At 54.9% G+C, this 20,952-nt stretch overlaps 1 protein-coding gene across 2 annotated transcripts in view, besides 8 other annotated features; it reads left to right on the top strand.

Moving 5' to 3' along the window:
• Positions 2,083 to 2,412: an enhancer, noted in NCBI's record as "active region_14325". NCBI's record gives its function as "activates an Ori minimal core promoter by ATAC-STARR-seq in GM12878 lymphoblastoid cells {active_cell/tissue: GM12878}" and the evidence as "EXISTENCE:reporter gene assay evidence [ECO:0000049][PMID:35858748]".
• Positions 2,556 to 3,071: an enhancer, noted in NCBI's record as "OCT4-H3K27ac-H3K4me1 hESC enhancer chr19:18632385-18632900 (GRCh37/hg19 assembly coordinates)". NCBI's record gives its function as "activates a minimal SCP1, AML or CMV promoter by ChIP-STARR-seq in naive and primed H9 embryonic stem cells {active_cell/tissue: H9 hESC(naive and primed)}" and the evidence as "EXISTENCE:reporter gene assay evidence [ECO:0000049][PMID:30033119]".
• Positions 2,556 to 3,112: a biological region, named in NCBI's record as "OCT4-H3K27ac-H3K4me1 hESC enhancer GRCh37_chr19:18632385-18632900".
• The window catches only part of ELL (elongation factor for RNA polymerase II), a 79,408-nt gene continuing 61,031 nt past the window's right edge, over positions 2,576 to 20,952 (top strand). For both annotated transcript variants that reach the window (NM_006532.4, XM_017027335.2), the window contains exon 1: positions 2,576 to 2,725. In NM_006532.4, the coding sequence (NP_006523.1) occupies positions 2,591 to 2,725 (135 nt within the window). In that variant the 5' untranslated portion in view covers positions 2,576 to 2,590. The remainder of the gene's footprint in view (positions 2,726 to 20,952) is intronic.
• Positions 2,803 to 3,112: a silencer, noted in NCBI's record as "silent region_10406". NCBI's record gives its function as "represses an Ori minimal core promoter by ATAC-STARR-seq in GM12878 lymphoblastoid cells {active_cell/tissue: GM12878}" and the evidence as "EXISTENCE:reporter gene assay evidence [ECO:0000049][PMID:35858748]".
• Positions 3,072 to 3,587: an enhancer, noted in NCBI's record as "H3K27ac-H3K4me1 hESC enhancer chr19:18631869-18632384 (GRCh37/hg19 assembly coordinates)". NCBI's record gives its function as "activates a minimal SCP1, AML or CMV promoter by ChIP-STARR-seq in primed H9 embryonic stem cells {active_cell/tissue: H9 hESC(primed)}" and the evidence as "EXISTENCE:reporter gene assay evidence [ECO:0000049][PMID:30033119]".
• Positions 3,843 to 3,892: a silencer, noted in NCBI's record as "silent region_10405". NCBI's record gives its function as "represses an Ori minimal core promoter by ATAC-STARR-seq in GM12878 lymphoblastoid cells {active_cell/tissue: GM12878}" and the evidence as "EXISTENCE:reporter gene assay evidence [ECO:0000049][PMID:35858748]".
• Positions 16,384 to 17,225: an enhancer, noted in NCBI's record as "H3K4me1 hESC enhancer chr19:18618231-18619072 (GRCh37/hg19 assembly coordinates)". NCBI's record gives its function as "activates a minimal SCP1, AML or CMV promoter by ChIP-STARR-seq in naive H9 embryonic stem cells {active_cell/tissue: H9 hESC(naive)}" and the evidence as "EXISTENCE:reporter gene assay evidence [ECO:0000049][PMID:30033119]".
• Positions 19,964 to 20,013: an enhancer, noted in NCBI's record as "active region_14324". NCBI's record gives its function as "activates an Ori minimal core promoter by ATAC-STARR-seq in GM12878 lymphoblastoid cells {active_cell/tissue: GM12878}" and the evidence as "EXISTENCE:reporter gene assay evidence [ECO:0000049][PMID:35858748]".

Here is a 20,952-nt window from a genome sequence, read left to right as displayed (position 1 = left end):
TCTGAGTAGCTGGGATTACAGGCGTGTGCCACCATGCCTGGCTAATTTTAGTGTTTTTAGCAGAGACGGGGTTTCACCATGTTGGTCGTGGTGGTCTCGAACTCCTGACCTCATGATCCAGCCCCCTCGGCCTTCAAAAGTGCTGGGATTACAGGCGTGAGCCACTGGGGGCCTGGCTTTTTTTTTTTTTTTTTTTTTTTTTTTTTGGAGACAGGGTCTTACTCTGTCACTCAGGCTGGAGTGCTGGAATATAGTGGTGCGAACATAGTTCACTACAGCCTCAACCTCCCATGGGCTTGAGAGAGCCTCCCATGTCAGCCTCCGGAGTAGCTGGGACCACAGGGGTGCTCCACCATGCCCGGCTAATTTTTTTAATTTTTTAAATTTTTTTGTAGAGAGGGGGCTTAGCCCTGTTACCCAGGCTGGTCTCAAGCCCTTGGGTGCAAGCGATCCTCCCGTCATGGCATCCCAAAATGCTGGGATTTCAGGTGTGAGACACCTTGCTAGGTCCTGAGTACTGCTCTTATTGCTGTTTCCTGTTTCCGAAGTGAATCCACAGAGGCTCAGAAGCAGGAGGTGCCTTTCACAAGATCACAGAGCGAGCTGGTTGGCCCTCCAAGCCAGCTCCTCCCTTGGCCAGGCGCAGTGGCTCACGCCTGTAGTCCCAGCACTTTGGTAGCCCTAGGCAGGCGGATCACCTGAGGTTGGGAGTTAGAGACCTGATCAATATGGTGAAACCCCGTCTCTACTGAAAATACAAAAATTAGCTGGGCGTGGTGGTGGGCATCTGTAATCCCAGCTACTCGGGAGGCTGAGGCAGGAGAATCGCTTGAACCTGGGAGGCGGAGGTTGCAACGAGCTGAGATGGCACCGTTGCACTCCAGGTTGGGCAACAAGAGTGAAACTCTGTCTCAAAGAAAAAGAAAAAAAAATCTCGGAAATTAGATAGTGGTGACAGCTACACAGCATTGGGAATATATTTTATATGTAAAATGTGACTCAATGAAGTTGCTTTTTAGAAAATGGAAGGCTGGCCGGGCACAGTGGCTCATGCTTGTAATCCCAGCACTTTGGGAGGCCGAGGTGGGTGCATCACTTGAGGTCAGGAGTTCCAGACCAGCCTGACTAACATGGTGAAATCCCGTCTCTACTAAAAATACAAAAAATTAGCTGGGCGTTGTGATGGGCGCCTGCAGTCCCAGCTACTACTCGGGAGGCTGAGGCAGGAGAATTGCTTGAATCCAGGAGGCGGTGGTTGCAGTGAGCCGAGATCACACCACTGCACTCCAGCCTGGGCAAGGAAATCGAAACTCTGTCTAAAAACAAACAAACAAACAAAAACTGGGGGAGGTGGCTCACGCCTGTAATCCTAGCACTTTGGGAGGGCGAGGCGCGCGGATCACCTGAGGTCAGGAGTTCAAGACCAGCCTGGTCAACATGGTGAAACCCCATCTCTACTAAAATACAAAAATTAGCTGGGCATGATGGCGGGCGCCTGTAATCCCAGCTACTCGAGAGGCTGAGACAGGAGAATCGCTTGAATTCAGGAGACGATGGTTGCATTGAGCCGAGATAGCGCCACTGTTCTCCAGTCTGGGCTGATGAGCAAGACTCCGTCTCAAAAAAAAAAAAAAAGAAAAGAAAAGAAAATGGAAGTCTGGGCTTGGTGGCTCACTCCTGTAATCCTAGCATTTCAGCAGACCCAGACAAGGAGGATCAGTTTGAGTTCAGGAGGTCGAGGGTGCAGTGAGCCATGATGGCGCCATTGCACTCCAGCCTGGGCAACACAGCAAGACCCCTCAAAAAAAAATTAAAATAGGAAAATGAAGCTGGACTGCACCATCGCTCAGGGACTGTGGGGATGTAGGATTTTATCCTATTAAAAGTACTCATCTCATAAGAAAAAGTTTACCAGCTCCTCTTCCACCTACCGGTCCAGCACCTTCCCTGGGTGGAAGTCCCATCCACCCCGCCTAAGGGATGCCTTATGTGTCCAACCCAGCGTCCAACGCGCGCGCTCCGTTTACATAGCCACGCCCACCCTCCCGGCCCGCGGCGGGGCCTACCCACCCACGTGTTTCGAGCCGGCTCCGCCCCTCCACGCCCTCTCTGCGGCTTTCCACAGAAGCCAAAGACGGAAGACTGTAGAGATCTCATAAATAATGCATCACGTCAGCGGCTGTAGGGGCGGGGCTTTGACGCGCCTGGCTGGCTGAGTCAGGGTTATGTATAATACTATGGAGGCGGGGCCTGGAGGGGTGCGCGTGTTGAGGCGGAGTTCGTTCACGGAAGTGGCCACCCCTAGGGCCTGAAGAGGCGGGGCCATAAGTGCCTTATGAATATGCAACAACTTGGGGCGTTGACTGTGGGCCTTGTGGGGCCCTCATGGGGCGTGGCCAGGCGCGTCTCCTGAATAATGTAGTGCGCTGCCTGCCGGTGTGGCGGCGACTGTTGGTTTGGTCGGACTCGGGGGGCGTGGCCAGCCGCGTCTCATGAATAATGCAGCGCGTCAGCGGGCGGCGGGGCGGGGCGTGGCCGGCGTGGCGGCGCTGGAGCCGGGAAGGGGGCGCGGGGGAGAGATGGTCGCAAGATGGCGGCGCTGAAGGAGGATAGGAGCTACGGGCTGTCGTGCGGGCGGGTTAGCGACGGCAGCAAGGTGTCGGTGTTCCACGTGAAGCTCACCGACAGTGCCCTGAGGGCCTTCGAGAGCTACCGCGCCAGACAGGTGAGTGGCATGGCGCCCGGCGCGCCAGTGGGGAACGTCCGGACGCGGGCCGGCCTCGCGCTCCCCTCACTGAGGCGTCCGGGCTCGGAGACGCTAGGTCTGTGGTGCTGCTCGCGGGTCCCTGGGCCGGCGGGGCGCGGAGTGGGCGCCAGTCCGGCCTGGAGCGCTGAGAACCGCGTTCCTTCTCAGCACTAGGAGGCAATACAGGCGGGTGGCCCGGGGCTGCTGAGGGGCCCAGACTCGCGCGCCGGGCCCGGGGGGCGTCGGTGTCGGCACCTGGCGGCGTCCGGGGCCTTTCTGGCCTGCTGGGCACCTGGGCAGGGTCCAGTTTGCGCACCTGGCGGCGGGGCGAGGAGGCGGTGGGCCGCACGGTCCCGGCACCGTGATAGGGGGAAGCTGGGGGCTTTTCCATCTGGGGCCGGGGCAGCGCCGTTGGTGGGGGTGACTGTGTCTGTCCTCCTGGGAAGCAGCGATCGTCTGGGTGCCCGGCAGGGGGTGGTCAGCGAGGCACTTGTGGGGGTCTGTTCTGTCTGGGTGGAAGGCTTTGCAGCTGGGGGCTGGCTTTGACGCGTTCCGATGAAGCCACTCAGGTTGGGCCACTTTGGTTCTTGGGACGGGGAGTTTGGGCAGAAACTGACAGCTTGTCCCAGCTTTCTGCTCCCCTTACCCCCAGGTGACCCTCTCTCTCCGGAGAGAGGTTCCTTGGAGAGTGGAAGTGTTGGGGGCGGCTGTGATGTTATCCTCAGGGCACATGTAGGGGATCCCTGCCACCCAGGAGGAAGCTCTGGCTACCACATCTGGCCGCTGACTCTGGAACTTCTCAGAGGCCGATTTGGGCCCATCTGGGGGAAGTTTGAGGCGTTTCGGTTCTGCCACCTGGCTGGTGGTGGGGAGGGGAGGCTGCTGTGTATGTTCTCTTGGGCCTGACTTTGGGGCGCATCTGGGGCCGTGGTCAGAAACCTGCCTTTTTCATTTCTGTTTGTGTCATGGCCCCCCCTCCCCCCGTCTGTGCTGGGTCAGAAGTTGCAGATGACCAGTGGTCAGGTCCCGAGGGGAAGTGGTTTAGGAACCTTGTAACTCCTTTTCTGGAAATTGGGGGCTTCATTGCCCTAAAGGGAGTGGGGGTGGGTCTAGTCTCGGGCTCAGAGAGCCCTGCTCCCTGCGTGTGTGTGTGTTTGTGTATACTGTTGATGGTGGGGGTGGGGGGGTGCCGCGGGCGGGGGAGGAGGGAGACTAACTAGGAAGGAATGTGGCTTTCTTCCTGCCCCGAACTTGTTCAGCTCCATTAGCTAAGCCGAGAATTTCTTCCCCCTGTTTCGTTTCCACCACTCTCCCGGTGCCCACCCCTTCCGTGCTTCTTCCCATGTCTTTGGGCAATTTCCTCCCTGTCCCGGTGTCGCAGTTTTCCCCTTCATGGAATGAGGATTTCATTTTTTTTTGAAAGAGCAAGTTCGCACCTTGTCAAAAAGACTCCCCAAGATGAGGCTAAGGCGCCCCTGCAGGTGAGGAGGAGACAGTGGCAGCGACAGCAGCTGCTGGCCCATGACCAGCCAGAGCCTCTCTTCCTGGTAGAATTCTGGCCCTGGGTCTTTTTCCCTGAGCGATTCTGACTTGTCCTGCAGGAAGGCAGGCTTTCCTAGAAACAGCTGGGGGAGAGCTCGTGAGTCATATAACTACGATGGACTTGGTACCTGGTCACCACTGTCTTCTGTGCTTTAGGAACCAGGAGCTCCGCCTTCTCTCTGATGCTGCCCTCGCTTGCTTTTCAGTCCAGAAGGTCCGCCTGTGTGTCCACCTCATGCTGTCACACTGCTATTTTTACTTTAGGGTATTGGTTACATCCCCTCTCTAAGCTGGATCTTCCTCATGTTAGGGTGAAGGTAACTGTGGACTGTTAAACTCCTCTGGCTCGGAGCCCAGCTGTGTAGGGCAGTGTGTTGACCAGCCAGGAGGGGCTTCCTAGAAGAACTTTTCCAAGCCATCCAGAGCAACTTGGCTGGCTGGATTATATTTTGGGGTGATTCAAACTTGGATTTTTCTCAAAAAGCTGTCTGGTAATTTAAGTGGCTTGGCCACTTTCTTTCTTTCTTTCTTTCTTTTTTTTTTTTTTTTTTGAGATGGAGTTTCACTCTGCTGCCCAGGCTTCATTGAGGTGGCGCGATCCCGGCTCACTGCAGCTTCTGCCTCCCGGGTTCAAGCGATTCTCCTGCCTCAGCCTCCCGAGTAGCTGGGACTACAGGCACGTGCCACCACACCCGGCTAATTTTTGTATTTTTAGTAGAGACAGGGTTTTGCCATGTTGGCCAGGCTGGTCTTGAACTCCTGACCTCCAGTGATCCGTCCTTCTCAGCCTCTAAAAGTGCTGGGACTACAGGCATGAGCCACTGCTCCCAGCCAGCTTGGCTACTTTCGAATTTAATCTTGCCCATGGGGCAGTATAGTGGATGGACTTTTCTAAGGCACGGCAGCTCCGTGCTCTCTGTGGTTTTGGGTAGTGAGCTTGAGGAAGGTGGCTTGAAGAACTTGATTGTGTAACCAGAGAAATATACTGGTTATGGACAAACTCTCATGTGGACAACTCTATCACCCAGAAGCCAGAGTTTTGTATTCCTCGATGCTGTGGTTATATAGTTTGCCAATTGCAACTTGTGGAGAGGGCTTTTATTTTTAATTTCTTTTTTTTTTTTTTGAGACGGAGTCTTGCTCTGTTGTCCAGGCTGGAGTGCAGTGGTGCGATTTTTCGTGTTAGCCAGGATGGTTTCGATCTCCTGACTTTGTGATCTGCCCACCTCGGCCTCCCAAAGTGCTGGGATTACAGGCGTGACCAACCGTGCCCGGCCTATTTTTAGTTTTTAATTGTGAAGAGGCTTTTACAAATTCAGGTGTGGCAGGGGCTAGAAAGGAACTTGCTGTGGAACTTTCTCTGTGGCTCCCAGGAGCAGGTAATCCTAGCTCTGGGAACAGCCCAGGTAGAAGCCCTCCTGTTTTCTCTCCCCAGAGGGCTCTGGTGTTGACCTGGTAGCCAGCTGGAGCAGCGTGGTGGAAGGTAAAGGCGCAGCAGTACACATAGCTGCTGGCCTTCTCACTCTACCTTGGACTTTGTGCAGTTTTTCTTTCCTTTTTTTTTTTTGAGACAGGGTCTTGCCCTGTCGCCCAAGCTGGATTGCGCTGGCGTGATCTCAGCTCACTGCAACCTCCGCCTCCCGGGTTCAAGTGATTCTCCTGCCTCAGCCTACCAAGTAGCTGGGATTACAGGCACGCATCACCGTGCCTGGCTAATTTTTGTATTTTTGGTAGAGATGGGGTTTTACCATGTGGTCAGGATGGTCTCAAACTCCTGACCCCTCAAGTGATCCATCTGCCTCAGCCTCCCAAAGTGCTGGGATTATAAGCTTGAGTCGCCACGCTGGGCCCCCTTTTTTTTTTTTTTTGAGACAGGGTTTTGCTCCATTGTCCAGGCTGGAGTGCAATGGCATGATCATAGCTCACTGCAGCCTCGAACTACCACCCTCCTGCTTCAGTCTCCTGAGTAGCTGGGGCCACAGGTGTGCACCACTGCACCTGGCTAAGTTTTAAATTTTTTTGTAGAGACGGGGTCTCACTATGTTGCCAAGGCTGATTTCAAACGCCGGGGCTCAAGTGATTTCCCTGCCTCAGCCTCCCAAAGTGCTGTAATTACAAGAGTGAGCCATCGTGCCTGGCCTAGTTTTTGTTGTTGTTGTTGTTGTTTTTTGAGACAGAGTTTCACTCTTGTTGCTAGGCTGGAGTGTAATGGTGTTATCTTGGCTCACTGCAACCTCAGCCTCCCAAATAGCTGGGATTACAGGCATGCACCACCATGCCCTACAAATTTTGTACTTTTAGTGGAGACGGGGTTTTACCATGTTGGTCAGGCTGGTCTCGAACTCCTGACCTCAGGTGATCCTCCTCCCTTGGCCTCCCAAAGTGCTGGGATTATAGGAGTGAGCCTTCGTGCCTGGCCTAGTTTTTCTCTTTTCTTTTCTTCTTCTTCTCCTTCTTTTTTTTTTTTTTTTGAGACAAGGTCTTACTCTGTCACCCAGGCTGGAGTACAGTGGTGTGATCATAGCTCACTGCGGCCTTGAACTCCTGGGCTTAAGTGATCTTCCCACCTCAGCTGCCCAGAGTGCCGGGACTACAGGCATGAGCCATTGTGCCTGGCCCAGTTTTTTTCTTTTTCTTTTAATTAAAAAAAATTTTTTTTTGTAGAGATGGGGTTTCCCCATTTTGCCTAAGCTGGTCTTGAACTCCTGGGCTTAAGGGATCCTCCTGTGTCGGCCTCCCAAAGTGCTGGGCTTACAGGCATGAACTACGTGTCTGTTTTTCTTTGAATATAAAAACCTGCATGGGATGGCCGGGCGTGGTGGCTCACACCTGTAATCCCAGCACTTTGGGAGGCTGAGGTGGGAGGATCCCTTGAGGTCAGGAGTTTGAGACCAGCCTGGACAATATGGTGAAAACCTGTCTCTACTAAAAATACAAAAAAATTAGCCAGGCGTGGTGGTGCATGCCTGTAATCCCAGCTACTTGGGAGGCTGAGGCAGGAGAATCTGGGAGATGGAGGTTGCAGTGAACCGAGATCGCACCACTGCACTCCAGCCTGGGTAACAGAGGGAGACCCTGTGTCAAAAAACAAAACGAAACCTTCATGGGTTGTGAGGTGGCTGTTCTTGTGGATCTCCCGGTTTGCTCTGATGAGTGATTTCTGGGAGAGGGGAGAGTGGAAGCATGGACACACCCCCTCCTTCCAGGACAGTGTTACTCACCTGCTTGGAAAAGTAGCCTCTGGTCAGTCTGAGGAAGTGACCCTCCCAGGGGCACTTGGGTTGTAGTTCATCATTAGGTGTTTGCATGGGCTCTGTTGCTGAGTGACCTCTTTTGGATCACAAGCTCCTTGGTGGAGAGGAGCACACCGTTGTTCAGAAAAAAATGAGGGCCCAGGAAGTGCTTCAGGAGGCCTGGGGATTAGAGCCTCTCTCCATTTGAATCTCAGCTCCACCTGCCTCCTGAGGCCATGGGTGAGTGCCTGACCCCTCCCATCTCCGAATCCTTCTCAGAACTGGGGTCAGCAGTACTTGACCTGCTCCCTCAAGTTCCAGATCCTTCTCTCAGGGCTGTGAGGATCCTGGTGCCTGACCCTTTCTGAGTTCCAGATTCTCTTCCTCTTGGGAGGAGAATAACCTGACCCCTCTTGTGCTCTGAGCCCTTAGTGAATGGACCCAGAGCTGGCTCCTGGGGGGCTGGTCCCTGCCTGGAGGTTCGTACAGAGCCGGTGGGAGACTCCAGATCACTCATCTAACCTGGTATGATTGAGCCTCTGGTCAGTGCCCATGGCTCAGGGCGGGATACCCACCAGTGATTGAGATGGGCCCCTCATGTCACGAGCTGACATTCTAGTGGCAGGAGACAGAATTCATGAACAGGAAGGATGGCACAGAAATTAGCAAGAGTAACTCACCGGCGGTCAACGTTAATGATGGTGAGGGGTATAGGTGGGGCAGTCAGTGAGTGCTTCCAGCAGGTGACACGGAGCTGCAGTCTGCTGGGGGAAGGGTCCCAGGCATGGCCGGTGTGCTGTCGCAGGGAAGGGTGTGAAGGGAGTGGAGGTAGAGGGGTGCTGTGCCTCAGGCCTGTGGCCAGTACTCAGCTCTTCTGGGTGGCCCTGGAGCTGTGCTGGGGGCTACTGTCTGCTGCTAAGTGGGTGGGCTGTGTGGATGTCACCCTTGGCACCGGTGGCAGGAGGAGCCTTACTTCAGCCTGTGATCCATTCTCACAGCAGGGCCCCAGAGGCCCGACTTATCTTCCCTTCCCGGTGGGCACCCCCCTTGGTTCTGAGCAGGGCAGCTTCTTGCCAGCCCTGCCTGCTTTTCAGAGAAGGCCTTCTTTAGAGACCTAGTGCTAGTGCTGCCCCTGTTGGCCCTGGGCTAGACCCCCATCCCTTCCCATGGGTGCACATCATCTTGACCACTTGCCGGGAGAGGAAGTTTATGGTCCCCCTTCACGACAGGGACAGATGAGGCTCTGAGAGGCGGCATCACCTGTCCAAGGGTGCTCGGCTGTCCTCACTGGCCCATACTGCCTCTTGAGTGCTCAAGCCAAACTATCTTTTGAGGTTGCAGGGGTCTTGACCTGAAGGGGAGTCACACTGGGGTCCTGAGCCTCACTTAAATGCAACTTTCCGCGTCCCCAAGAGGCCCGAACCTTGGTGACGTGAGTGACTGAGCAGATTCCTCCGGTTGCTGGCTATGCTGGACCCCCTCCCCCAAGAAAGTGGAAAGGTGATGGGCACCTACACCTGTGGAGGGTGCCCCACCCCGCCAGTGCTGGCTGTGCCACCCACAGTACTGCATTTCATCCCATCTTCCCCGTGGTGGGAGCAGTTCCCATTTCTTAGGTGAGGATATGGGTGGAGACTCTGGAGGAGGCTGAATCACCAGGCAGGATCTCCCAGCTGGGAAGTAGCTGAGAACTCAGAATCCAAGTGTCATGGCCTGGGCTCTGCCACCTCTGAAGGACTGTGGCCGCTGGATGGGCTGGGGTGGAACAGGTGGGCTGCCAGGAGGCATCAGGAGTGGCCCACTGGTGCACCAGGGTATGGTTTGCCTGTGTGTTTCAAGGTGAGCATTTGGTGGTTCTGGGTGGATTCTCCCAGAAGGTGCTAGAAGAGGACAAGCCAGCTTGAGTCTGTGGGCCCGAGCTGGCAGTCTCTGCAGGAGGCAGGCAAGAGTGTGTGTGAGGGACTGAGCTCTGCACTCGGCATCGTGACCCTTGACTGTGCTTTCAGCTGGTTGCCGTGGCTGTGATTGTGTGTAAACAGCAGGCAGCGCTCACTCGGAAACCCACCCCTCTGTTGACTCACGGCCAAGGCCGTAGTTCATCACCTTTGAAGCAGTTTTGACATCACACCCGGATTGTGACATCCCGACTGGGAGACCTTGAGGGAGGAACCCGCCAGCCTGACAAACAGGATTGCCTCTCTGCTCCACGTAGCCCTGGGCTCGAAGCAGCTGCCCAGGGAAGAGACCCTAGTTTTCAGAGGTCTGCTTCTCAGGGGGCATCAGCCTTGTTTAAGGCACCTGGCAGGGCACAGACTTGTGATTGATACTGCACATTTTGGGTTTGGCCTCTTCTGTGTCCTTTGTTTTAGGGTCTTGCTCCCCGTTGTGCTTTCTGCCTTGATGAATTCAGTTGTTACACTTTCTCCTTGGTCTCTGAATCTCATGGACAGGGTTGTCTTCAATCTCACCTGTGTAGTCAGCCACAGAGTCCAAAGGGAAATGTAGAACAATGCATCCAAATGGCCTGTGACCTGCAGGTGCAGTGAATGACAGAGATGGCCATGACATGTGGTTATTTTGTCACTTTGCTTTTTTTTTTTTTTTTTTTTTTGAGATGGAGTCTCACTCTGTTGCCCAGGCTGGAGTGCAGTGGTGTGATCTCAGCTCACTGCAAACTCTGCCTCCCAGGTTCACGCCATTCTCCTGCCTCAGCCTTCTGAGTAGCTGGGACTACAGGCGCCCGTCACCACACCCGGCTAATTTTTTTGTATTTTTAGTAGAGATGGGGTTTCACCGTGTTAGCCAGGATGGTCTCGATCTCTTGACCTCGTGATCTGCTTGCCTTGGCCTCCCAAAGTGCTGGGATTAACAGGTGCGAGCCACCGTGCCCGGCTGTCACTTTGCTTTTTAATGAAAAAAGCTGGTGTCCAAATAAACCATCCGCAGGGAGACTATTCTCCCAGATAAAAGCGTCCTAGAGACCTCCCGCCTCCATCTGACCTGGCAGTGGGCCCCAGAGTCTGATGCTAATTATATCCTCCAGGGCTGGACCCTCCTGACCAAGTGGAGACACGGCTCCTGACTGAGGCAGCCAGGCCAGCAGATGTGTTTGTGAAGGGGTAGGGCTTCGAGTTCTGGTCAAGTTTGTGGAATAACTGAATTCCGATTTTTTTGTTTTGTTTTGTTTTGTTTTTGAGATGGAGTCTCGCTCTGTCGCCCAGTCTGGAGTGCAGTGGTGTGATCTTGGCTCACTGCAACCTCTGCCTCCCAGGTTCATGCCATTCTCCTGCCTCAGCCTCTTGCGTAGCTGGGACTACAGGCGCCCGCCACCACGCCCGGCTAATTTTTTGTGTTTTTAGTAGAGACAGGGTTTCACCGTGTTAGCCAGGATGGTCTCCATCTCCTGACCTTGTGATCCGCCCGCCTCAGCCTCCCAAAGTGCTGGGATTACAGGCGTGAGCCACTGGGCCCAGCCTGAACTCCTGTTTTAAAAGCATCCTGTGAAGTTTTTTTTTTCCTTTTTACTATATAAGCAGTATAACTCAGGGTAGAAAGCCTGCAATGTACCTAAAATTAGCAAGTCTGTTCTCATTGCCCCAGGTAATTTCTGTTGACACCTTTGCACCCTCCTCTGTCTCGCCTGGGTGTACCGTGTTGTCATAGTGGCACAATCATATGGTTTTGCGTCTCTTCTTCCCTGAACACTTTATGTTTTAATGCTGCACCTTCTGTGCATCGTGGAGCCTGACAGGTCAGTATTCTTCGGGCATTTTTGTGTTCTTGGCACTATGCTTGGTTCTGGGGATGTCCGGATGCTGCAGGCCTTGTGTGTGTACAGGCCAGTCCACTGTCCCGTAGTGAGGCTACATAGAGCGATGAGGTGAGGTGAGGCAGGTGACCCAGCACAGGCCACGGCCTGGCATGCCCATGTGTCTGTGAGTGGAGCCTGGAGTATGAGGCTGCGATTTTGAGGCCAGGGAAGGCAGCTCAGCCCCGCTTGGCTTGCTCCTCTTTGGACAAATTGAGCTGCTGGTGATGGAGGGCTGTGGTCAGTCCTTCTCACCGTTCTTCAGATGGGGAGACCGCAAGTATATACCCTACTGTTAACACCCCTGTCCTTCCCCCAGGCCCATCGGGGGCCTCAGCTCTTCATGAGATGCTGTTGTTGCGCCCCGTGTCCTTTTTATATGTTGGTGAAAATGTTTTCACAAAGAGGCGTCTCTCTTGAAGGATGCTGAGAACTGCATATTGGGGATCAGGTACATTGGTGGCGCTGCTCCCACTGACAATTTGGGGCTCCAGGCTGCTGGCACCCTCCCTGAGCCTCAACTTCCCAATTCAGGTGAAGGTGTTGTCCTAGAGGTGAGACAGGCTTGTTCTCCCTGGCTGTGCACGAGGTGTCAGCTGCTCTCCTCGTTGACCCAAAAAATGATCCCAGAAAGCAAAGCCTCCAAAATTTAAAATAGCTTCTCCTATAGCTCTGCTGTTAGGGTTTTATTGTTTTTTTTCTGAAATAGAGAACTGGCTTCCTAGTTTTGGCTCATTGCAACCTCTGCCTCCCAGGCTCAAGCAATCCTCCCACCTCAGCCTCCTAAATAGCTGGTACTACAGACACCCATCATCACGCCTGGTTGCTTTTTGTATGTTTTTGTAGAGATGGGGTTTCACCATGTTGCCCAGGGTGGTCTTGAACTTCTGAGCTGAAGCGACCTGCCCGCCTTGGCCTCCCAAAATGCCGGGATTACAGGCGTGAGTCACCGCACCTGGCCTGTTTCTTTATTTTTATTTCTTTATTTTTGAGACGGAGCTTTCTGCTCTGTTGCCCAGACTGGAGTGCAATCACGTGATCACAGCTCACTGCAGCCTCAACATCCTGGGCTCAAGCGATCCTCCCACCTCAGCCTCCCCAGTAGTTGGGACTACAGGCATATGCTATCACACTCAACTAATTTTTTTTCTTTTTTTTTTTTGAGACGGAGTCTTACTCTGTCGCCTAGACTGGAGTGCAGTGGCATGATCTTGGCTCACTGCAACCTCTGCCCCCTGGGTTCAAGCGATTCCCCTGCCTCAGCCTCCCCAGTAGCTGGGATTACAGGCATCTGCCACCATGCCCGGCTAATTTTTGTATTTTTAGTAGAGACGGGGTTTCACCATCTTGGCCAGGCTGGTTTTGAACTCCTGACCTCATGATCCATCCACCTCGGCCTCCCAGAGTGCTGGGATTACAGGCGTGAGTCACTGTGCCCGGCCCTTTTTTTTTTTTTAATTTGTAGAGGCAGGGTCTCACTGTGTTGCGCAGGCTGGTCTCGAACTCCTGGGCTCAAGCAGTCCTCCAACCTCAGCCTCCCAAAATGCTGGGATTACAAGCTTGAGCCACTGTGCCTGGCCAGCTTCCTGGTTTCTTTAGCAATTTTCCCACTGGAAAGCCCACAGCACTGTCAGAGGGAGCTGGGGCCCCCTGTACTTCCACCTTCTCCATCAGGCCCCCTCCGGTGGTATGGTGGGTGGTGGGCAGTGGGCAGGGAACCAGACTGATGTCCTGTGGTGTGGATGGACCACATCGTGCTCATCCATTCCTCTGTCCATGGGCATTTGGGTTGCTTCCACCTCTTGACTGTAGTGAACCATGCTACTGTGAACAGGGCATGTAAGTATCTGTTCAAACCCCTGCTTTCAGTTCTTTTGGATACATACCCAGAAGTAGACCTGTTGGATCGCCGAGGCTGGAGTGCAGTGACGTGATCTTGACTCACTGCAACCTCTGCCTCCCAGGTTGAAGCAATTCTCCTGCCTCAGCCTCCCAAGTAGCTGGGATTACAGGCGCCCACCACCACGCCAAGTTAATTTTTTTTTTTTTTGAGACGGAGTTTCGCTCTGTCACCCAGGCTGGAGTGCAGTGGTGCTATCTCAGCTCACTGCAAGCTCTACCTCCCGGGTTCATGCCATTCTCCTACCTCAGCCTCCCGAGTAGCTGGGACTACAGGCGCCCACCACCATGCCTGGCTAATTTTTTATATTTTTAGTAGAGATGGGGTTTCACCATGTTAACCAGGATGGTCTCGATCTCCTGACCTCATGATCTGCCCGCCTCAGCCTCCCAAAGTGCTGGGATTACAGGCATGAGCCACCGCACCCGGCCCATGCGTAGCTAATTTTTATATTTTTAGTAGAGACGGGGTTTCACCATGTTGGCCATGCTGGTCTTGAACTCCTGACCTCAGGTTATCTGTCCACCTCGGCCTCCCAAAGTGCTGGGATTAGAGGTGTGAGACACTGCTCCCGGCCTCATTTGGTCATTCTGTGTTTAATTTTTTGAGGATTTGCCAGATTGTTTTCCACAGCGGCTGCAGCATTTTACATTCCCACCAGCCGTGCACAAGGGTTGTGGTTTCGCCACGTCCTTGCCCGAACTGGTTATTTTTTGATGGTAGCCATCTTAATGGGTGTGGGGTGGTCTTGGAGCCATTTAAATGCCCTCATGTATGTGACTGTCCTGTGAGAGCTAGGACCTGCAGGGCCTCTGATGCCCCTGGATGGACCCAGGAGTCACCTGGTCACAGGTGACAGAGGAAGGTCTCGAGCAGGATCACCTGGGCTCAGGTGAGAGAAAGGGACAGGGAGAGCCCGGTGTGGCTCTGCAGTGAGGGAAGCTGGGGCTGAGTGGAGATGACAGTGGCTACGTGCCCTGCTTCTGCATAGCCAGTGTGCGGTTGCCCGGCCTGTGTTGGGATGCAGGTTTCTCTTTTTGTTTTGAGACCGAGTCTCACTCTGTCACCCAGGCTGGAGTGTGCAGTGGTGTGATTCTTGGCTCACTGCAACCTCCACCTCCCAGGTTCAAGCAATTCTCGTGCCTCAGCCTCCAAATTAGCTGGGATTACAGGCTTGCGCCACAATGCCCAGCTAAGTTTTTTGTGTTTTTAGTAGAGACGGGGTTTCACCATGCTGGCCAGGCTGGCCTCAAACTCCTGGCCTCAAGTGATCCACCCACCTTGGCCTCCCAAAGTGCTGGGATTACAGGCGTGAGCCATCGTGCCCAGCTGGGACATGGGTTTCTGTAAGCAGTGAGGGTTAGGAAGGGCCTTGGGTGAGGTTGGCCAGGGTGGTTGAGCCTCTCAGTGGCAGGACTTCTGAGCCCTGCAGGTACTGAGGCTTCAGGGCCCTTCTCAGGCAAAGAGCTCAGATGGGTGCAGAATCTCTATTTTTAGCCCTTTTTGGATTAAGCTTTTGTGGAAAATGAGGTCTCTTCCAGGTGAGAAGTGGCCTGGAGGTCCTGCAGGTCAGGGACAGCCCACTGGGGGGCACTGGCTGGGCGGGGGGGTCCAGCTGCTGCCCTTGGCCTAGCCCTGAGGCATTTGCTGAAGGTGGGTGGGAGGGAAGAGGAGGAGCAGAGTTTTCTTAGGATCCTGTGGGCAGGTGGAATCCACCTACTTCCAGGAGGAGCCCCAGGCCTCCAGTTGGGGAGGGGAGTGTGTGTGTGTGTGTGTGTGTGTGTGTGTGTGTGTGTGTGTGTGTGTGTGTGTGTGTGTATGTGCGCGCGCGCGCACGTGCATTGGCCTGTGTCTCCATCTGTGTTCACCCTGGAGACCTTAGGTTGGGCCCCTCTATCCAGGGTAGGCTGATTAGTGGGGGCCTGTGGGCCAAGGGGCCGGGTGGGGGCGGCCACCCCATCACATTGCCCTTCTTTCGGAAGGGTGACTCCCCACCAGGAACCCAAAGGGCTTGGGGTGGCCTTGTCTCCTCCCACAGGCCTGAGGAGGGTAAGCTGGGTTGGGAAGTTCCTTTTTCCTTTCTGAAAACAGTGACTTTTCGGGGTACAATGAGCTTCCTGCTGTGGATCTTGTAGCCCCTACACCTGGAGGGAGTGACCTTAGGGTCTCAGTGGGCACTGTGATAAGGATGCCTGCTGGATTGCATCAGGGCGCCTGGTTCACAGGACCTCCAACCTGGCTGCTGTGGGGAAGGGCCCTGGTGGGTGCCTCCTGCTCACGGCTACTCTGAAATATTATTCCCGAGATCTTGAGGGGAACCTGGGCTGCGTCCACCTCATGTTTGCTCCATTTCCCCATGGAATTAGTGGTAGAGGTGACTCACAGGGTCTCTTTTTGTGTCCTCAAGGAAACTGAGGCCTATAGGCTCTGCCCAGGGTCACTGCTATAGTTGCTTATCCCCACAACAAGGCTTGCTGCCTTGTTAGGACGCGGACAGAGTGGGCTGTAGTGTGATCTTTTTCAGCAGCAACCCTAGAGACTATAGCGTGTTGGTAAACTGTGGCCAAAGGGCTGGGTCTGGCCTGCCACCTGTCTTTGTAAATAAAGTTTTATAGGGACACAGCTGCCCACTTGCTTACCTGTAATTTATGGCTGCTCTTGCCCTGTGACGGCAGCCAAGGCTGCAACTGTCTAGCTCACAAAGCCTGAAATACCAACTCTTTGGCCCTTCATAAAAGAAGCTTGCTGGCCGCTGGTCTAGGGTGTCCAGCTGGGTGTGTGGCAGGAAGAGTTGGTGTGTTAATGGAACCACTGTCGTGGGGCCAGGCTCGGGCCTTGGGCTCCCAGGCCCCTGTGCAGTGCCAGGCAGCCCTGTGAAGCCTTGCTGTTGGCCAGGGCCAGTTGAGACTTTGGAGGGTCCTTTTGTTCTGGCCCCTTTATTTCACTAATGGGACATCTAGAAGATAATGGCTAACTTGAGATCACACAGTTAGTGCAGATGATGTCAAACCTTGAACCTGAGGGCATCCACTCTGGGACAGGCTACCCTCCTGGCTGCTGACTCTTGTATTGTATTTTATTTTATTCTATTTTTGTTTTTATTTTTTAGAGAGAGGGTCTTGCTGTGCTGTCCAGGCTGGAGTGGAGTGGTGTGATCATAGCTCACTGCAGTCTGTTAACTCCTGGCCTCAAGTGATCCTCCCGCCTTGGCCTCCCAAAGTGCTATAGGCGTGAGCCACCACACTCAGCTGTGACTCCTATTTTGATCTCATGCAAACTCAAAATGTTTCTCAGCCCGCATGGGAGTCCCTGGGTTTTCCGGGAGTTTTTCTCAGGGACTGCATCAATCCTGACATAGCCTCCAGTGGGAACCGGCCTCTTTATTTGTGACCTGTATGTGACCTTTGAAACAAAACACAGTCATGTGCAGCCTGGATGGGAAGGGCTGGCTTGTGTGTCCCTTGTGGAGTTGGGAGCAGCTGCCGCATGGAGTCAGCCTCAGCCTGCTGCATCCTCATCTCTGGGGATGGAGCTGGGGGTCAGGCGTCTGCCTCCAGATGGGTAGTGGGGCCCGCAGAACCTGTGTCTGATTCTAGTTGGGCTCTGAATGCAGTCTCTGAGCTGAGCCTCAGCTGCGTGGTTGTTCGGCGGGGCACAACCTACACAGTGCAATCTCCTACACAGAGGGATTGCACCCAGTGAGGGTTCGGCTGCCTCCAGGAGTGTTTCTCCAGTAAGAAGCAGGAGGGATGAAGCCCCTGCGCTCACATGGCCCACTTCTTCGCAGCGGGGAGGTGCACCATAAACCAGCAACAGCCAGATCATGGTGGCTTCAGACTGGCTTGGTGTGCAGTGGTGGTGGACATGGGCAGGCAGGCATCTCCCTCCACAGAAGCAAGCTCACCTTGGGCTGGGGAGACCTAGGAGACCCTTCCAGAACTTTCTTAGCTCGGGGCAAGTGCCGTGTGCAGATTAGATTCTTTGTTAGATACCAGTGGCTTGAAAGACTCAGAGGAGGACTTCCTGAGCAGTTCTCTGCCAAGGGGCTGTGGGTCTGTGGCCAGGCTCTGGCAGCAGACTTGGCCTGTTTTCACTCTTCTTATCTGGGGATGTTATCTCTCCCTTTTCAGAGTTGGGTGTGACCCTTGAACTGCCACAGGCCAGGCACAGACTGTGCAGGGAGGTATCTGAGGGCAGGGAGCGGGTGCAGCTAGAAGAGCGTGTTCCTTCCTCTCCTGGTGGCACTATTTTTGGAGTTGGATGCTCTCAGACGCCTGCTTGTTCCAGTGAAATGTGCTCAGCTCACACTGGATTTGGCAAGTGGGAGGGGACAGCCAGTGCTGGCAGCCTGTGTCCAGCTCATCTCCAGGCTGCCCTGGCTCTCTTACCTGTGCACAGGCTCCCACTGGTCGAGGGCCATGTGCCTGGAGCCACATGACCCCATAATGTAGGAATCGCTTCCATCTTGTAGGCCAGCTCCTTGTAGATAGGAAGTGGAGCCGTGTTGAGAAGGATTCTGAGGCGATGTCTGGCGTAGAGCGTAGGATCAATGAGACAGGGTCCCTGGCCCTCTGATCATAGCATCTCTGTGGGGAGAGTTCCCTCTAATCTCTGAGCTGAGGAGGGTAACGAACTCCTAGGTGTGCAAGGTGAGGTTCACATGCTGTTGAACGGAAGTCTGCTTTTGTTTTTTCAGACGAGGTCTTGCTCTGTCATCCAGGCTGGGGTGCAGTGGTGTGATCATAGCTCACTGCAGCCTTGGCTCCCGGGCTCAAGTGATCCTCCTACCTCAGCCTCCCAAATAGCTGGGACTACAAGTGCGTGGCACCACACCTGGCTAATTTTTTATTTATATGGAGACAGAGTCTCCCTGTGTTGCTCAGCCTGGTCTCAAACCCCTGACCTCAAACGAACTTCCTGCCTTGGCCTCCCAATGTGCTGGGCTTACAGGCGTGAGCCATGGCACCCAGCCGAGCAGAAGTCTGGGCTGATGCTGCACCCCAGAGGCACAGGAGCTTTGGATCCCTTTCCCCCTGGGGGAGAGGGTAACTTGCCACAGTCTGCTCTGAAGCAGCCCGGGTGTCCCTCCACTGTGGGAGGCGGCTTAGGAGCAGGCGCACCTTGAGGGTGGCCCAGGCAGGTCGCTGGAGGGTGCGGGAGACAGGGCCCAGGCCTGGGGCGGTGCCAGCAGGGCTGTCTCCATGTTGACTGTGGGGGGCTGGTTCCAAGCCAGGCTTCAGACCCAGCTGCTGCGTGTGGCATGGCCTGAGTGCCAGGGGCAGCAGCCTGGGCACACATGGGCACCCAGGGCTTGGAGGGAGGCTGGGTCAGTGGGCCTAGGTGCAGAGCTTCTGGGTGTCTAGACTGTTGTCCCAGGGATGGCTGAGGGCCAGCATGGGGGGCCCAGGCTGCCACCTTTGCCTCACTGGTATTGGCCACATGTGTGCTGGGTGGTCTGTGTAGTACAGAGCAGGACACAGGGTGGGGGTACCTGACTGTACAGTGGTGCCACCCTCTGGGCCTCAGTTTCTCCCTCTGCTGTGTGGGGTCATCCTGTGGGTGGGAGGTCAGGTCAGTGCCTGCAGCCCCTCCTGCAACTCACATTCACCTCTCCTTACTTTGCTTTCCTGTCCGTGGGGTGTTTTGGGGTTCAGGGAGCTGTGTCCCAGGACATCAGGGGAACACAAGCCGCATCCCGTGGCCCCCACTCCTCTCCCGTCCTCTTCTCCCCTCCCCTGTGTGTGCCTGGTGCCTTAGGTGGCTTGCAAGGCGCCAGTCACACACTGTTTCCTTTCCCGGCTTAGCCCTTTCCCATCACAGAAACCCCAGCTCTCTCCCAGGCTATCTCATAGTAAGGAGCCTGCGTTACTGAGGGCTGTTGAAGCACCAAAACCTAGGAAACTCTGGATGAGGTGAAGAGCATGTGTGTGTGTGGCACAGGTACTATGGCCCTGCCCAGTGCTCTGCACACCTGCCTTCCTGCCTGCCTGGGAAGTGGGATGAGTAATGGCAGTAGCTGGGGCTTATTGCCGGGTGCCCTTGCCCGTGGGAGGGTGTGACTGGCCACAGCATCCTTAGGATGAAGAATTGAGTAGAGAAGAATAGCAAAAGCTATCTTCAGTCCTAACAAGAGCCTAACTAGTTGGGATTGCATTTGCTGTTGGGTGAGCTGTGGCAGATGCAGAAGAAAGCACACCACAGAGGAGAGGGGAGGGGAGGAGAGGATGGGAGAGGAGTGGGGGCTACGGGACAGTGGCTTGTGTTCCCCTGATGTCCTGGTATGTCACTGCCCTCTGGCACACAGAAGTTGCCCATCGTTCTCAGTCGCCTGAGGTTTGGCCATGATGGCAGGAGGGTGAGATGTCCTGAACCTTGACCTGCTGCTCCCACAGCCCTGGCAGCCCAGAATAGTCAAAGCCTGGGTTGTCTCCACAAGGCAAGAGTTTTTTCCTCTGCTGGAGCTGTGGGCTGAGAGCCTCCTGTGCGCAGGCATCACACATCCCCAGGCCAGGTGGCTCCTCGGGTGCTCAGGGCTGTGGGGGCTTTGTGTCCCTCAGGCCCTGTCCACTGGACAGGTGGTGGCAGGGCTCCGTGGAGAGTGTCCCAGAGTAAATGGGTTCTGGTATATGCAGTGTTTCTCATGACAGCCCATGGGGTGTGTTGGTGGGGGGAGATATAGCTCATGTGCCAGTGTCACTCTCGGGCCTTGGCAGGGATGCAGCTGGGAGAGTTCTGTTTATTTAAAGTCGAGCCTCAGGTTTTCTGCTGTGACTTATTAACCCGTTGATCCACCCTGTGGGCGGTGCCAGGCTCTTCTGAGGCCTGACAGGTGGGCCTAACCTCTGCTGACCAATGACAGAGAGCATCACTGCTCTGATGACCGGACCCAGGCTGCAGGTTCTGGAGTCTGTAGCCACTTCCCCTTCCTCCCAGGCAGAGATGAACGTGACAGGGATGAGATGTACATGGCAATTTCAGATGGGAGTTGAAGAATGCTGAGCTCTGTAGAAAATGTAGGGGAAATTTAGCAAAGCAAGCCACGCGTCATGGATTTCAATCAGGATGTGACTTGAGATGTGGGTAATCCCGAGAGTCACAGATTGCTTTGGAAAAACAGAGCAGGAGTGGCCTCTGTGCGTCAGTGAGCACACCCTTAGGTAGATGGCTGACAGATGCCCTTTGCCCACCTCCCCTCCTCCTCAGCCTCACCCCTCCAGCCTCTCTGTGCCGTCCCTGGCCTGTTGGCACAAGTGGCTGAGGAGGCCAAAATGAAGTGATGCATGCTTAGCAGAGGTGCCAGCACAGTTGACCCCTGCATCCGCCGTGACAGCCCGCAGATCCTCTGCACGCTGCAGCCACCAGGCGAGGCCTCCCTGGATGCCGAGGAGTCAGTGCTTCAGTGAGCCCCTTGGATCAGGCGGGGGGATGTGAGTGAGCGGGTTGTCCACATGGATAGGAGTGGGGTCAGACCTAGCGTCTGGCCAGAGTGTGTGTCCTTAACCTTGGCCAGGCAGCAGCCAGGCCCCCACGTGTGACTCCAGTTAGCCAGGTGCATTCTGAACGGGAGTGATGAGTGACAGTCCCGTGGGCCCTCATCCAGCCTGCAGCAGGGAAGGCTCCCTGAGGAGGGAAGCTCGGCAGGACCCAAGGAAGGGTGGTGTTTCTGAGCCCTAGGCGGGTGCTTGGGAACAGCCCATTCTCCACTCCCGCTGGCTCCAGGTGG

Source organism: Homo sapiens, chromosome 19, assembly GCF_000001405.40.
Source record: "Homo sapiens chromosome 19, GRCh38.p14 Primary Assembly".
NCBI classification, from domain to species: domain Eukaryota; kingdom Metazoa; phylum Chordata; class Mammalia; order Primates; family Hominidae; genus Homo; species Homo sapiens.
This window is presented reverse-complemented; position numbering and strand designations above follow the sequence as displayed.